Source organism: Homo sapiens, chromosome 6 (genome assembly GCF_000001405.40).
Source record: "Homo sapiens chromosome 6, GRCh38.p14 Primary Assembly".
In the NCBI taxonomy this organism is placed as follows: Eukaryota; Metazoa; Chordata; class Mammalia; order Primates; family Hominidae; genus Homo; species Homo sapiens.
In genome coordinates, this window is record NC_000006.12 from 130,249,146 (window position 1) to 130,266,266 (window position 17,121).

The window sequence follows — 17,121 nt, forward strand, 5'->3', positions numbered from 1 at the left end:
AATTCCCAGGAAAGGAAATAAAAGGGCTGGGACCTAAACAATTAGCATGAACTGGACACAATGTCCTGATTTTAGCTCCTCTTTGTCTTCATGAGTCTAATATGACTTACCCTAATTGGCCAAAGAGTATCTCTTTTACACCTATTGTCTTAATCTAGTAAAAATGGCTTTCTGTTAATTTTGTTTTTATTTTTTTTCTTGAATACATCCAAAGCCTCATTTCTGAAAAGAAATGGTGTCTGGGAGCTTAGAAGGGAGAAGCAATGGGTGCTTTCACTGTAATTATCTTAACGTTTTGCAGCTATGAACATTCTGAGTGCTGGCTAGAGTTTTAAAACTCCAGCATCTGTACTTACGGCAGCTTGTATACATGTATTTATCAACATCTGCATCCCACGGTGTATGCTTTTATTCTATTATACAGAATTAAGGAAACAAGGAATGAAAGTAAGAAGCCAATAGAAGAGACAGACTAACTGGGGCATAGCAATATGATAAGCTCAAAAGATATTTACAGTCTGTACTATCTAAAAATTACACTCCAGACCCACCTAGTAAGCAATGAGCTATGGGACACAAAGAATGGTAGGTTTGAAGGCACCCAGGATGATCAGTGTTAGGGTAAGTTCTTTATCAAAAGAGCCTTTCCAGAGAAGTTATATTTCTGAGTAGAACGTGACATAATACTGAAGGTTATCCAGGGAAAAACAAAAAAAAGCAAGACTCTAGCCATTTAGAGTTCCAAAATAGTCTCACTGAGACCCACACGCTCTGAGGAAGTCCAGATACAAGCTTTATGGTAACAACCTAAAGGAGGGCTCCCCATTTACAGCATCCAACCCTGATCAATCACAGAGTTTGATGCTAAACAACACGGTGCTCCCAGGGATGAAGTAATAGGAAATATGCGGGAATGGAGAGGCACAGGAGCCCCCAGATAGCTCTGCAACAGTTACATACAGCTATGGGTGTAGACTGGAATCACCAACATTACAGTGAGACAGGTTTGGCTGAGATTAGAAACCAAAAAGAGGCATAAGCACAGCACATTGAATAAAGGTATTTCTAAAGACAGTCACAAAAGTACCATTATTTTTGGACACTGCATTTGACATCTTCCAAAGCTTTCCCCCTCCTATTCTACGTTATCAAAACAGGGTCTACCAGGCGCCCTTATTCTTTTGCCCTAGTGCTAAAGGACTAGGAAGAGAAGAGGTGAAGAAAAGCAGTAGAAGCAGTTATGCCTACTAAATAGTAGTCTCCCCCATTTTATATGTTTATTGGAATAGATTTCACATAACATGAAATTTACCCATTGAAGTTTACAGTATATTGATTTTTAGTATATTTCCAGAGATGTGCAACTATCACCTCAATTTAAGACTAGTTATATTACCCCAAAAAGAAACTGCATAGACATTAGCAGTCACTCTCCATTCCACCCTCACCCATTGTTCTATCATCTCCCCAAGCAACCACTAATCTGCCCTTTGTCTCTTTCGATGTGCATATTCTGGACATTTCATATGAATGGCATTGTACAATATGTGGTCCTTTGTGTCTGCCATCTTTCTCCTAACATAATGGTTTTAAGGTTCATTCATATTATAGCATGGATAAGTACTTCATTCTTTTCTATGACCACATAATATTCCATCGTATTAACATACCACATTTTGTTTATATCCATTTATCTGTTGATGGATTTGGGTTTTTTCTACTTCTGGGCTCTTATGAATACTGCTGCTACAAACATGCATGTACAAATTTTTATGTAGACATATGTTTTCATTTCTCTTGTGTATATACTTAGCAGTGGTATTGCTGGGTAATATGATAACCCTGTTTCATCTTTTGAGGAAATGTCAGTTTTCTAAAACAGCAGAAACATTTTATATTCCCAACAGCAGTGAATGCAGGTTTGAATTTCTCCACATTCTTGCCAATACTTGCTATTATCTGTCTTTTTGATTATAGCCATCCAAGTGGGCATAAAGTGGTATCTTATTGTGGTTTTGAGTTGCATTTCCATTATGGATAGAGACACATCTCTGTATGCATCTATGGGCCATTTGCATATCTTTGGAGAAATGTCTGTTTAAACTCTTTGCCCTTTTAAAATTTTGGTTATTTGTCTTACACTCTTGAGTTGTAAGAGTTATTTATACATTCTTGATTCTATATCTTTTCAACCTTCTTGATAGTGTTCTTTGAAGCACAGATGTTTTAAATTTTGATGAAGTCTAATTTATCTAGTTTTTTTCTTTGGTTGAGTATGTTTTTGGTGTCATATTGAAGAAACCATTGAATAATGCAAGGACACAAATTTTTCGTCTGTTTTTTTCTAAAACTTTTATAATGATAACCCTTATATTTAGGTCTTTTATCTATGTCAGATAATTTTTGTATATGAGGTGAGGAAAAAATGGAATTTCATTCTTTAGCATTGGATGTTGGTCCAGCACAATTTGTTGAAAGATTATTATTTCCCTGATTGAATGGGCTTAGCATACTTGTCCAAAATCACTTAATCCTAGAGGTGAAGATTTCTTTCTAGGCTTTCAAGTTTATTTCATTGATCTATACTTGTGCCAGTACCATACAATCTAGATTTCTGTAGCTTCGTAGCAAGTTTTGAAATAGGAAGGTATGAGTCCTCCAACTTTGTTCTTATTTTTCAAGATTGTTTTGGCTATTCTGGGTCTCTTGTGTAATTGTTAAGAAAATAATACAGAATAATCTGATCCTGAGGGTTCTACAGATGTGTTAGGTCTAGTGAGTTTATAGCATTGTTTAAGTCCTCTTTTTTTTTTATTGAACTTCTGTTTAGATGTTCTATTCCTTGTTGAAAGTGGGCTATTGAAGGCTCCATTATTGTTGTCTTCTTCTCTCTTCAGTTCTGTCTGTTTTCACTTCATGTGTTTTGGGCTCTGTTGTTTCATGCATATATATTTATAATTATTATATCTTCTTGACATTTTGACCCTTTCATTATAAAATGTCCTTGCCTAATTCTAGTAACAACTTGTGTCTTAAAGCCTATTTTTCTGATATTAACATAGCCACCCCAGCTCTCCTTGATTACTGATTTTGAAGGGTATATATATCTTTTTCTATCCTTTCACTTCCAACTTATTTGCATTTTGGATCTAAAGTGAGTCTTGTATAGACAGCATATAATTAGAGTAAGCTTTTTTCTCTATTTTAACAGTCTTTGCTTTCCTTTACATCTCATTTTTTTTCTTCCTGAAATAGATATTTGTTCATAAGAAATATGGGTACACTATCTTTTATTCAAAACTTTAGTTTAATTACAGAGAGAGAAAAAGAAAGAGTAAACCAAGTAGCTGCAAATAGCTCACTGGGGGGTGAAAACAAGGCAAATCACTTGGCCAAATCTTGCCCTCGTCTGATTTAAATTTCCGTAAAAACTTCAACTGACAAACTAAACCAGCTGCTGGTGTAAAGCTTTGTTACAACACTAGCTAAGAAAACACAAGTAGAAACTTGAAAGGGTTTCTGCCGCCTGAAGTGTCGTTTGTTTTTGGTTTCCTGGATTTGGGTTGGAATTCCTTTGTGGCAACCAAAACAGCTGTCCACTGGTAGGCTTAGCTTCAACTATTAATTCAGCTGTGGCACAGGAGCAAGCTTCAGAGATGCGCTCTGTGGAAGGGTTCTCTCGATCCCTGGAATTTTGGTGTTACATTCTCAGTCTATATTGGGTATCTGCTCTCCTGAAGAATCTTTGCTTTTTGGTAGGTTTTAAGACGATGACATTGGTAAAATTATTTTAGTCATAATTTCCATACTTACAGAAAACGCCATTCTTGATTAGCTGTTTACATTTCCAGTAATCAGACAGGTGAAGGCCATCTGGGTCAGGTTTTTTCCATGCCTCTGCAGGATTCTGTGTACATACTTTACACAACCTAGTGAAGTTCAGTTCATATTGTGCTGTATCCTTTCCTTAGCAATTGCGCAGGAGATGCAGTGTTATAAAACTTCACTACTTCCAGCACATCCTTTTCTGGGAACTCTTTATTAGTGACAAGTTTCCTGTGGTAGAAGTAATTTGAAATAAGACAAAAATAAGTGAGCTCTTTTTCTTATCCTTGTGTGAGTCCAGCTCTGGCTTCTCTCGGAGGCAGAAAGAATAGAGGAAAACTTCAAGTTCTTGTGAGTCTGGGTGCAGTCCTTGTTTAGTTGGAACCAGTGGGCTACAACCATCTTGAGCTACTACCTAAAATTCTTTTTCAATAGATGAGCTTACATTTATTGATATGATAATATCTTTAATTCTAGGTATTTACCTTGTGTGTTATTTTGAATATTTTAGGGCTTAAAAATCATTAACAATGTGATCCATTTTCTTGTCTTATTTGCAGAAGTCTTCTGACAGTTAAGAGAACTTGCATTTTTCTATAATTTTATAAATATAACTCAACAATGCTATATTTATAGAATATAAGATTTTAAATATGTGTTATATGTATAATTTTATATTCTCACCTTTTAAAGTAAATATCAATGCTTTCTATTTTAAGAAATAAATTAGTGTAATATTTCCTTCTATTTCTTCCTTGCCACCAAATTAAAATTATTATTTTTTTTTGGTGGAGGGGGGTATATCTTTGTACTAATAAATGTGCTTATACCTCTTTTATGTGATTTTTCATCATTAAATAATGTTATTTACCCCTTACCTCTCCTCCTGTTATTAGTGTATCTTCATTGTTAGGGTATATAACATTTAAATTCTCTCCTGTTACTGTATTGCTCATGTTTGTTTTGGTCTGAGGTCTGTAATTAGATACATTCAAAATGTCCCAGTAAGCATTTTGCTGTAGTTACCCATCTTTTTTTTTGAGACAAAGTCTCACTCCTGTCACCCAGGCTGGAGTGCAGGAGCAAGATCATGGCTCACTGCAGCCTTGACTTCCTGGGCTCACTTGATTTGCCTACCTCAGCTCCCAAGTATCTGGGACTACAAGTGTGTGCCACTACGCTCAGCTAACTTTTTGTATTTTTATTTATTTATTTATTTATTTTATTATTATTATTTTCTGAGACAGAGTTTTGCTCTTATTGCCCAGGCTGGAGTGCAGTGGCGTGATCTCAGCTCACTGCAAGCTCTGCCTCCCAGGTTCAAGGAATTCTCCTCCCTCAGCCTCCCGAGTAGCTGGGATTACAGGTGCCCTGCCACCACACCTGGCTAATCTTTTGTATGTTTGATAGAGACAGGCTTTGGCCATGTTGGGCAGGCCACTCTCGAACTCCCGACCTCAGGTTATCCACCCACCTCAGCCTCCTAAAGTGCTGGTATTACAGGCATGAGCCACCGAGTCCTGCCTTTTTGTATTTTTAGTAGAGATAAGGTTTTGCCATGTTGCCCAGGCTGGTCTCAAATTCCTAGGCTCAAGCAATCTGCCTGCCTTGGCCTCCCCAAGTGCTGGGATTACAGGTGTAAGCCAGTATTGAATACTGCTGTGAAGAGTTTGAAGCCAGCCTGATTTTTCCTCCTTATACATAACTGGATAGTTTTGCTTTGTTTCTCAGATGATTCTTCATTACTCTTTTCTTGTGATATCTTTGTCTGGCTTTGGAATCAAGGTAATAGTGGCCTCATAAAAGGAGTGTCAAAGTATTCCCTCCTCTTTGACTTTTTGGGAAATTTTTGAAGAATTGGTATTAGTTCTTCTTTAAATGTTTGGTAGAATTGGCTTTTAAATTTTCTGGAGGTGTACAGTTGTTTATTTTATATCTTTCTTCTTTTTTGATGTAAATAATCATTGCTTAAAACTTTCCTCTTCAAACTGTGTTTGTGGCATTTCATAAGTTTTGGTATGTTGTGTTTCCATGTTTGTCTCAAGATATTGTTTCAATTTCTCTTTTAATTTCTTCATTGACCTATTTGTTGTTCAGGAGAATGTTGTTTACTTTCCAAGTATTTGTAAACTTTCCACAATTCCTCTTGTTATTGACTTCTAGTTTCATACCATTGTGATCAGAAAATGGTACTTTATATGATTTCAGTTTTCTTAACTTTGGTAAGAGTTGTCTTGTGGTCTAAGATATGATCTATCGTGAAGAATGTTCTGTGTGTGCTTAAAAAGAACCCATATTCTGTTGCTGTTGGATGTAATGTTCTGCAACATCAGTTAGGTCCATTTGATCTAAAGCATTGTTTGAGTCCAGTGTTTCCTTATTAATTTTCTATCTGGATGATCTGCTCATTGTTGATAATAGGGTATTGAAGCCCCCTACTATTATTGTATGCAATCTATCTCTCTTTTCAGATCCTTTAACATTTGCTTTATATATTTATGTGTTCAAATATTGGGTGCATAAATATTTACAATTGTTATATCCTCTTGATGAATTGATCGCTTTTCTACAGTTTTAAATTTAAAGTATATTTTATCTAAGAATAGCTATCCTTGTTCTCTTTTGAATCCTTTGTGTGAAATATCTTTTTCCCTACTTTTGGTTTTATTACATATTCTATTTTTTTAAATATTCTTTTTGATAGATAGACACAAAATCTGACTACATGGCACAGGCTTGTCTTGAACTCCTGAACTCAAGCGATCCCCCCACCTCAGCCTCCCAAAGTGCTGGGATTACAAGTGTGAGCCACCACACCTGACCCCAGTCTATATTATTAAAAGTAAAGTTAGTCTCATGTCGGCAACATATAGTTGGGTCTTGTCTTTTTTTTTTTTAAACCATTCAGTCATTTTATGTCTCTTTATTAGATAACTTAATCCATTTACATTCAAAGTAATTATTGATAAGCAAAAACTTACTAACACCATTACATTAATTGTTTTCTGGTTGTTTTGTAGGTATTTTGCTTCTTTCTTTCTTGGTTGCTGTCTTCCTTTGTGGTTTGATGGTTTTTTGGTAGTAGCATACTTTGACATTTTTCTATTTTTGTTTTGTTTATCTAGTATAGACTTTTGCCATTCTGAAATCATGAGAACAAGCAAAAGCACCAAATAGATAAAGATGCACACTGGAAAGATAGAAAGGGTTTGGACTCTTGATTTCATTGATGAGCTGCTTAATTAATTGTGGAACTCCAGGCTTCTTGTATTTTAGCACAAGTTAGATATGAGATCTTCATATCAGATTCTCTTCTGCAACTAGGACTTTTATAACATAGAATGATTTGCTATTTTACCTAGTTATATGCCCTTTCTATTGGAATCTGAGACGACCACATGTAATTGTACTCCAAGGAGCTTTCAAGACCAGTGACCACTGTGCACTAAATCTTGACTATTTTCTGCCATGTAAAAATAAAATACTTTTTAAAATTCATAACCATTATCATTCTTTGTAGAATATTTCCTTGACTGCTATGATTCTTCTTGGAAGCAATTTTTTTTCTTTTGCTCAGAGGTCTCTCTAATTTGTATTGCTGCATGTCATTCCACTTTTTAGCTAGGAGAGTCTTTGTCCTCTTACTTGTCTGTTTATGACTACATGCTTTGTCAATATGCAGTCCTCTCCCAATGCTCATGGAAACAGATGTTGTTGCCTAAGCTCTTTCTCCAATAAAAGAAATGAAACAGAATTGACATAAAAAATAAAACATTTTATGGTTTCAAACTTATTTTAAACATCAAACCCAGATGTTCCAGCTTAACCAGATACCATTAAATGGATGAGTTTAATTTTCTATCACTTTGTGAGACATTTTATTCAGTTTTCTGAAATGGCATGAAATAAGGGTTATTTTACAAGTAACCCCAAATCACTATTTAGCTATCTCAGATTCTTTTGGAAATAGTTGCTGTGTAAGTAACTCTCTAAAAATATTTTCTGTGTCCTTGCTAACTGAATTGTGTCCCCAACTCCAAATTAATATGTAGAGGCCTTAACCCCCAATATGACTATGTCTGGAGAAGAGTTCTTTAAGAGACAATTAAGCCTTAGTAAAGACTAAGGTTGGGGTCCTAATCTGATAAGACTGTTGCCTTATAATAAGGGAAAGATCTCTCTCTGTCTCTCTCTCTCTCTCTCCTTATAAGGACAGAGGAATAAGGGAGCCATCTGCAAGACAGAAAGAAGGCCCTCATCAGAAACTGAATTGGCCAGCACCTTGATCTTGGACTTCCCAGCCTTCAGAGTTGTGAGAAAATAAAATTCTGTTTTTAAGTTACCCAGCCTTATATTTTGTTATGGCAGACCAAAAAGACTAAGACAGTCCTGGTGTACAAGTCTTTTAGTCTCATGACTGCATTGACCTGATTTAAGGCATTTTAGTAATAACAGAGAAATTGGTTTCATATAGTAGTTGTCATTCATTTCATTTATTTTTAAAATTAGAAGAATAATTTCACTCCTGACAGTATAAGAAAACCCATAAGTCAGGGACCTTTAATTCCCTATCCCTCAATTACTATTCTGAATACATCTCAATGCCAACTCTCCTCTCTAGATCAAACTTTCTGGTACTTATTCATATCTAATTTACTCAAAATGTTATAGAAATATTGTTTTAATTTTTAGAAAAATCTTATTGACAAGCAATTTTTAATTGAAATTATAATGGACACACAGCAAAATGTACAAATTTTAAGTATACAACTTGATGAATTTAATATAAATATATACACCCAGCAAATAAACAATAAGATGAGGTTATAGAACATTTCTAACTATCTAGGAAATTCCTTTCTGCCCCTTCCTGCTGGTACTCTGAAGGTAAACACTATTCTGTCTTGTATTTCCATAGATTAGTTTTGTCTCTTCTTAAGGCAAAAATGGAAGTATACGATCCATGCACTTATATCTGTGACATCTGTTATTGCTTGTAGCAACATATGTTTCTGTTTGTTCATGTTCATACAATACATGTTATTGTACATCATATTGGAGTAGTTTTTTCTTTTTAATTATTGTGAGTGTTCCGTGGAATAAATATATAACTATTTATTTTTACATTCTACTATAAATGGGCATGTTTTGACTATTATCAATAAGCTGTTTTGAACATTCTTGTATGTATCTTTTGATCTATTATGTTTGATATAAATATAGTCATGCCAGCTTTCGTATTCTTATTGTTTTAATGGCATATTGTTTTCTCTCCTTTTACATTCTACCTATCTCTCCCTGAATATTTAAAGTTGGTTTCTTGTAGAGAGCACATGGTAGCTCTTGCTTTTTTATCCAGCCTGAGAATCTCTGTCTTTTAATTGAAGTGTCTAGTCTATTTACATTTATGTAATTATTGATAGGGATGATTTAAATCTGCCATTTGCTAATTGTTGTCCATTTGTCCCTTCTGTTCTTTGTGTATTTCCAGTCTTATTTTGGGTTTATCAACTAGTTAAAATTAACATTATTGAGGTAAAATCGGACACACATATTTAAAGTGCACAATTTGATAAGTTTTGACATATGAATAGTCCTGTGAAATTATCACAACAATCAAGATAATGAACCTAACTATCACACACAAAAGAGTCTTTATGCTCCTTCATAATCCTTCTATTTGGAACCTTCTCACCTCCTTATCACCCAGCAACCACTCATCTACTTTCTTTCACTGTAGATTAGCTTTCATTTTTTAGAATTTCTATATAAATATACTTTTAGAATTTTATTTTGGGAAGATTTTTTTAAATTAGGGATTGTTGTGGTTATATCCCACAGATTTGATGTTACCTTTTGATTATCATTTAGTTCAAATTTCTTTAAAATTTGGGGCAATTTGGGAGATTTTAGTGATTTTAGCAAGTAGATTATTAATAGTACTGAATAAGAGTAAACAGGAACTGAGGAAGTGGGAACAATTAGTGAGATCTACCATTTTATGACTTTTACAGTGGAAACAAAGGAAAGATATGAAGTAAGTTAGAAGAGAAATAGAGAGGAGGTGAGCTGGCCTAGCCCATACAGGTTGGTTATAGGTTCATGATGAGAGAGGATTAAGGAGAAATCTCAGTCTTAGGTTACTTTCCCAAAGGTTTTCTATTTAGCCAGTAATAGCAGAGCAAAGAAACCCTTAAGTTTTAGTCTGTTTTATGCTGCTATAAAGGAATATTGAGGCTGAGTAATTTATTTTTTAAAAAAGGTTTATTTGGCTTATGATTCTGATGGTTAGAAAGTTCAAAATTGGGCATCTGCATCTGGTGAGAGGGCCTGAGGCTCCTTCCACTCACTGTAGAGGGCAAAGGGGAGCTGATGTGTGCAGTGATCACATGGTGAGAGAGAAAGCAAGAGCGTGGAGCTCTTTTTAACAATCAGTTCTCTTGGGAATGAATGCAGTGAGAACTCACTCACCTGAGTGAGGATATTAATTTTTCATGAGTGATCAGCCTCCATGATCCAAACATCTCCCATTAGGCCCCATCTTCAACATTGGGAATAAAATTTCAGCATGAGATTTGGAAGGGACAAACATTCAAACCATAGAAACACATAAATGATCAAAAGATACAGTGAATAGAAACAGGCCCTTTACCATTGTCTCAGTACCCGATTTAGAGGAAAAGGCCTGCCAGGTCAGAGGAGCACAAAACCTGGACTCAATGTATTTTTTTTAACAAAACTTTTTATTTTGAGATAACTGTGCACTCATGTGCAAAGTTATAGGAAGTAACACAGAGAGAGCCTGCCTATCCTTTACCCAGATTCCTCTAGTGATAACATCTCACAAAACTTTAGTACAATGCTAAAAACAAGATATTGACATTAACTTAATCCACTGAAATTGTTCAATTTTTTTTTGTTTTACTTGTGCTCATTTGTGTGCTGCATTTAGTTCTCTGCAATTTTATCACGTGTTTCAGGTATCTACCACAGTCAAGATAAGAATAAGTACATCATCACAAGGATTCTTCAGTTTTTTGGCCATTTTCTAATTAGTCTTTTGAACTATTGAGTTCTTAGAGTCCTTTCTATATCATAGATACAGTCACATACTGCATAATAATGTTTTGTTCAACAATGGACTACATATAGTGAGAGAATAGAGACAGACCCTCTCATATTGTTTTATACTCAGAAAAGGAAAGAGAAGTGAAACTAAAGGCAGGTAGCCCGGTGCCTAGGAACCAGACCCAAAACCAAGGAACCAGACCTGAAACCAGGCCTGGGCCTGCCTGACCTAAGCCTGGTGGTTAAAATTCAACCCCAGACCTAGCAACTGATGTTATCTATAGATTCCAGACATTGTATAGAAAGACATTGTGAAACTTCCTGGTCTGTTCTGTTTCACTCTGACCACCAGTGCATGCAGCCCCTGTCACGTACCTCTTGCTTGCTCAGTTGATCACGACCCTCTCTCACGGACCCCCATAGAGTTGTGAGCCCTTAAAAGGGACAAGAATTGCTCACTTGGGGAGCTTGGCTCTTGAGACAGGAGTCTTGCCAATGCTCCCGGCTGAATAAACCCCTTCCTTCTTTAACTCAGTGTCTGAGGAGTTTTGTCTGCAGCTGGCCCTGCTACATTTCTTGGTTCCCTGACCGGGAAGCAAGGTGATTGGCGAATGGTCGAGGCAGCTCCTTAGGTGACTTAAGCCTGCCCTGTGGAACATCCCTGCAGGGGACTCCAACCAGCCCAAGCCATGCGGATCCTGAGAGCACTCCCGGGTAGGCATTTGCCCAGTGAGACGCCTCACCAGAGCAGTGTGTGGCAGCCCCCTGTGGAGGATCAACGCAGTGGCTGAACACCGGGAAGGAACTGGTACTTGGAGTCTGGACATCTGAAACTTGGTAAGACTAGTCTTTGGAACTTGCCTACTCTGTTTGAGTGGAAGTGTGGTCTGATGACCCACGGTGTACCTTTATCGGCACTTTGGTTTGGTTTTGGTTTTGGTTTTGACTCGGTTTGAATTGCTTGACAGGACTGGTCTTGGGAACTTGCCCACTCCATTTGAGTGGAAGTGTGGCCTGATCACCCACAGCATGCCTTTATTGGCACTTTGGTTTTGGTTTTGGTTTTGACTTGGTTTGAATTGCTTGACAGGACCGGTGTTGGGAACTTGCCTACTCCATTTGAGTGGAAGCGTGGCCTGATCACCCACGGCGTGCCTTTATCAGCACTTTGGTTTTGGTTTTGGTTTTGACTTGGTTTGAATTGCTTGACAGGACCGGTCTTGGGAACTTGCCTACTCCATTTGAGTGGAAGCGTGGCCTGATCACCCACGGCGTGCCTTTATCGGCACTTTGGTTTTGGTTTTGACTTGGTTTGAATTGCTTGACAGGACCGGTCTTGGGAACTTGCCTACTCCATTTGAGTGGAAGCATGGCCTGATCACCCACGGTGTGCCTGTACCAGCACTTTGGTTTTTGTTTTTGACTTGACTTGGATTGCTTGATACTTTGGTTTTGATTTCTGGATACTCTGATTTTGGTTTTGATTTTGATTTGGTGTAAACTGCAAAAGTGTGTGTGTGCCCTTTTTACCCATTCTTTGTTTTGTGGTGTGTGTGTGGTGTGAGCGTGGTGTTTTGTCTCGAAGAAGCATGGGTCAGGCACAAATAAGCTCACCCTACTAGGAACTATGTTGAAAAATTTCAAAAAGGATTTAAAGGAGACTATGTAGTACTATGACACCAGGAAAACTTAAAACTTTGTGTAAAATAGACCAGCCAGCATTAGAGGTGGGTTGGCCATCAGAAGGAAGCCTGGACAGGTCCCTTGTTTCAAAGGTATGGCACAAGGTAACCTGTAAATCCCGGGCATCCAGACCAGTTCCCATACATAGACACTTGGTTACAGCTGGTTTTAGATCTCTCCACAGTGGTTCAAAGAACTGCATTATAAGCCAGGCAGAGAGAGACAGAGAGAGAGACAGAGAGGAGAAAGAGAGAGGCAGAGAAAGAGAGGAAGAGACAGAGCCAAAAGGAAAGTCAAAGAGAGAAAGACAAAGTCAAAGAGAGATATATACAAGTAGTTAAGAAAAAAAAAATGGTGTACCCTATTCCTTTAAAAGCCAAGGTAAATTTAAAACCTGTAATTGATAATTGAAGGTATTCTTCGTAAGCCTATAACACTCCAATACCACTTTGTTGTCAGTGTAAACAAGGGCATATCTCGAAAGCACTGAGGCCTTCCTATCAAAAATCCTTGACCCAGTAACCTGTGGATGGCCCAAATGCATTCAATTTGTAGTGGCAACTGCTTTGCTAACAGAAAAAAAGTAAGAAAAAAAAAAACTTTTAGAGGAAACCTCATTGTGAGCACACCTCACTAGTTCAGTTCAGAGCTATCCTAAATCAAAAAGGCAAAAAAGTAGCTTACTAACTCAAAAATCTTAAAATATGGGGCTATTCTGTTAGAAAAAAAAAAAAGGAAATTCCCTTAACCCAGCAGGTTTCCTAACAAGGGATTTAAATCTTAATTACCATACAAAGGTCCAACCAGACCTAAGAGGAACTCCCTTCAGGACAGGATGATGGATGGTTCCTCCCAGGTAATTGAAAAAAAAAAAGGTTATAAAAGGAAATTCATGCAAGAAATGTTGTATAATTTAAAAGTAATTAGGCCTCCTAAATGTAAAACTATTAAAGAAACAGTTTATGTGCAAGGTATATAAAGAAATTAAAATATACTTCTAGTAGTAAGAATTATAAGGAGCCATAAGAATGTAAAGCTTTACCTACATTAAAAGGTTATAAATATGTATATTTTGTTTTAAAGGTTTAATCAAGTTTCAAAATGTTAATTGAAAAAAAATTCTGTGTGTAGACATTGGCCAAAGTTAAAGAGGTATCATCCAGTTTTTCTGTAAACTGGACATAAAAATAAAAGCATAACAGGTTTTCCTTAAAACACAAACCTGCTCTTTAGCAAAAATTATAAAAGGTTAAAAAGAATCTATAAAATCTTACCTTATAGTCAAATATTAAAAATTGGATAAATGTCTACAAGGTTTTATTAAAATTAGGTTTAACATTAATAACACACTAATATAAATGTAAAATTTAACTTATCTGGTATAAAAATCATACAGGAAGCATTGTTAAATGTAAAATGGTATTTGGCTTTCTTTGGTTTAAAACCTAATAAAAATAGGTGCTAAAGGAAATTTCTCAGTAAAAAAGCACTAAGGACTATAAAGTCCACTGCCAAGGTCCCCACATTTAAAACAAAAGATCAATTTCTTAAAAATTATATACTTGGTTTATCTTCCACTTTCCTTTCCCTCAAAAACTAAAAGTCTTTTAGCACTTGTACCACCCTTAGAATTTCCGGTAAACCAGAGCCAGCCTGAAGATCACGTTCTCGTCAAAAGGTGGAAAGAAGAAAAACTCGAGCCAGCCTCAGAAGGACCCTACCTTGTGCTGCTAACCACCAAGAATGCTGTTCATACAGCAAAAAAGGATAGACTCATCATGCCCGACTCAAGAAAGCGCCACCCCCTCCAGAGTCGTGGGCCATAGTCCCAGGGGAAAACCCTACCAAACTAAAGCTAAGAAAAATTTAACTCGTTTCATCTACGCTATTACTCTTTCTTCTTTCCTCGTTCTATTGCTGACCATCTAGTTATTAACATAACCAAGTCAATTTCGCCTCAAACTATTGCATCTAATGCTTGCCTTGTGGAGACTTGCCAAGTCAAAGACAGCTTTCTACTTCAGAAAAGTACTTCTGTTCCTCCTGACTCTCCTTAGACTGGGCATTAGTAAACTAGGACCATTTAATCGGGGGAGATTTCGATAAAGACCCCAGTGCCGACCAGGAGTCTTGCCCCCCGATGTAGAGTTTTCATGCCATAGTTGGTCCAACATTCTGTGGACCACTAAAGAGCAAGGATGGACTGCCCCAACCAGTTTTTGTAATTTCCTAAAATCATACATTCATTTTACTAGAGGATCATGGAAGTTAAAGACTTACAACAAACTTTAGCAATTAAGACAGGATACCAAGATGCAAATGCCTGGTTAAAATGGATCAAATATTCCATCTGCATGTTAAACAAAAGCAATTGTTATGCTTGTGCACATGGCAGGCCAGAGGCCCAGATTGTCCCCCTCCCACTAAGGTGGTCCTCCAGTCGACCATGCATAGGCTGCATGGTAGCTCTTTTCCCGTATTCTACAGCCTGGAGTAATAAGTCATGCCAAGCTCTCTGTGTTCTATCCCGAAGTCTGGCACCCTGCGGTTCAGCTGCCAAAGGCCATCCAGCTTCCATCTCCCAACACTAAGTTCACTTCATGTCTCTCATGACAGGGAGGAAATAGCATTCCTTGGAGACCTGAAGGGATGTGATGAGTTTAAGAATTTTCAAGAGCTTATCAATCAGTCAGCCCTTGTTCATCCCCGAGTGGATGTGTGGTGGTATTGTGGTGGACCTTTACTGGGCACTCTGCCAAATAACTAGAGTGGCACTTGTGCTTTAGTCCATGTGGCTGTCCCTTTTACCCTGGCATTTCATCAACCAGAGGTAGAAAAAATAAGACATCATAAAGCGGGAGAAGCCCCTTATGGGTCTTTCAACTCTCACATCTATTTAGATGCAATTGGAGCCCTGCAAGGAATACCAGATCAATTTAAAGCTTGAAATCAAATAGCTACAGGATTTAAGTCAATATTTTAGTGGGTGACAGTTAATAAAAATGTAGATTAGATAAACTACATCTATTACAACCAACAGCAACAAGCTTTTCATGAGTTAAAAGAAAAACTCATGTCGGCCTCAGTCCTGGGGCTACCTGACCTGACAAAACCCTTTATACCCTATGTGTCAGAAAAAAAAAAAATGGCAGTTGGAGTTTTAACCCAGACTGTAGGGCGCTGGCAAAGGCCAGTGGCCTATCTCTCAAAACAACTAGATGGGGTTTCCAAAGGCTGGCCCCCATGTCTAAGGGCCCTGGCAGCAATGGCCTTGTTAGCACAAGAAGCAGATAAGCTAACTCTTAGGCAAAACCTAAACATAAAGTACCCCCATGCTGTGGTGACTTTAATAAATACCAAAGGACATCATTAGCTAATGAATGCTAGACTAACTAGATATCAAAGCTTGATCTATGAAAATCCCCGCATAACCATTGAAGTTTACAACACCCTAAACCCCGCCACCTTGCTCCTGGTATCAGAGAGCCCAGTTGAACATAACTGTGTAGAGGTATTGGACTCAGTTTATTCTAGTGGGCCCAACCTCCAAACCATCCTTAAACAGCAGTAGACTGAGAGCTGTACGTGGATGGGAGCAGCTTCACCAACCCCTGCAAAGTGGCTCTGAAGAAGATAACAAGCCCTGCTTCAGTCACACCTGGAAGCTGACTGGTCCATGCACGGCCGAAGCATGAGGAAACTCATCACGGGACTCATTTTCCTTAAAAACTGGACTTGTACAGTAAGGACTTCAACTGACCTTCCTCAGACTGAGGGCTGTTCCTAGTGTATACATCATGTCACTGAGGTAGGACAAAAAGTTGCTACGGTCCTATTATTTTACAGTTATTATAAGTGTACTGGAACCCTAAAAAGAACTTGTTTGTATAATGTTACTCTATACAAGGTATGTAGCCCAGGAAATGACCAACCTAATGTGTGTTATGACCCATCTGAGCCTCCCATGACCACAGTTTTTAAAATAAGATTAAGAACTGAAGACTGGTGGGGGCTCATAAACGATATGAGTAAAGTGTTAGCCAAAACAGAAAAAAAAGAGGTGCCCAAATGAATCACCTTGAAATTTGATGCCTGTGCTGTCATTAATAGTAATAAGTTAGAAATAGGATGTGGTTCTCTTAATTAAGAAAGAGGCTATATGGCAGAAAATAAGTACGTTTATCATAAATTAAGACTGTGTAAAAATAAATGTGGATACTGGTCTCATGTCATTTAGGCTACTTGGATTAAAAAAATGAAAAAATCCTGTCCACCTTCAGCAAGGGAAAAGTGGCCCTTCCTGTACCAGTGGTCAGTGTAACCCCTTAGAACTAGTAATAACCAACCCCCTTAATCCTCGCTAGAAAAAAGGGGAACGTGTAACCCTAGAAATTGATGGAGCTGAAATGGATCTTCAAGTAAATATCGTGGTTTGAGGAAAAGTTTATAAACGCTCTCCTGAGCCATTATTTCAAACCTTCTATGATGAACTGAATGTGCCAGTACCAGAAATTCCAGGAAAAACAAGAAATTTGTTTTTGCAAT

General features: G+C 37.4%; 1 protein-coding gene across 3 annotated transcripts in view, besides 2 other annotated features; it reads right to left on the reverse strand.

Annotated features, from left to right (window-relative positions):
* Positions 1-17,121, reverse strand: part of SAMD3 (sterile alpha motif domain containing 3) — a 223,117-nt gene that overhangs the window by 106,394 nt on the left and 99,602 nt on the right. The gene's annotated exons all lie outside the window — the stretch shown is intronic.
* Positions 11,218-11,357: an enhancer, noted in NCBI's record as "active region_25058". NCBI's record gives its function as "activates an Ori minimal core promoter by ATAC-STARR-seq in GM12878 lymphoblastoid cells {active_cell/tissue: GM12878}" and the evidence as "EXISTENCE:reporter gene assay evidence [ECO:0000049][PMID:35858748]".
* Positions 11,578-11,697: an enhancer, noted in NCBI's record as "active region_25059". NCBI's record gives its function as "activates an Ori minimal core promoter by ATAC-STARR-seq in GM12878 lymphoblastoid cells {active_cell/tissue: GM12878}" and the evidence as "EXISTENCE:reporter gene assay evidence [ECO:0000049][PMID:35858748]".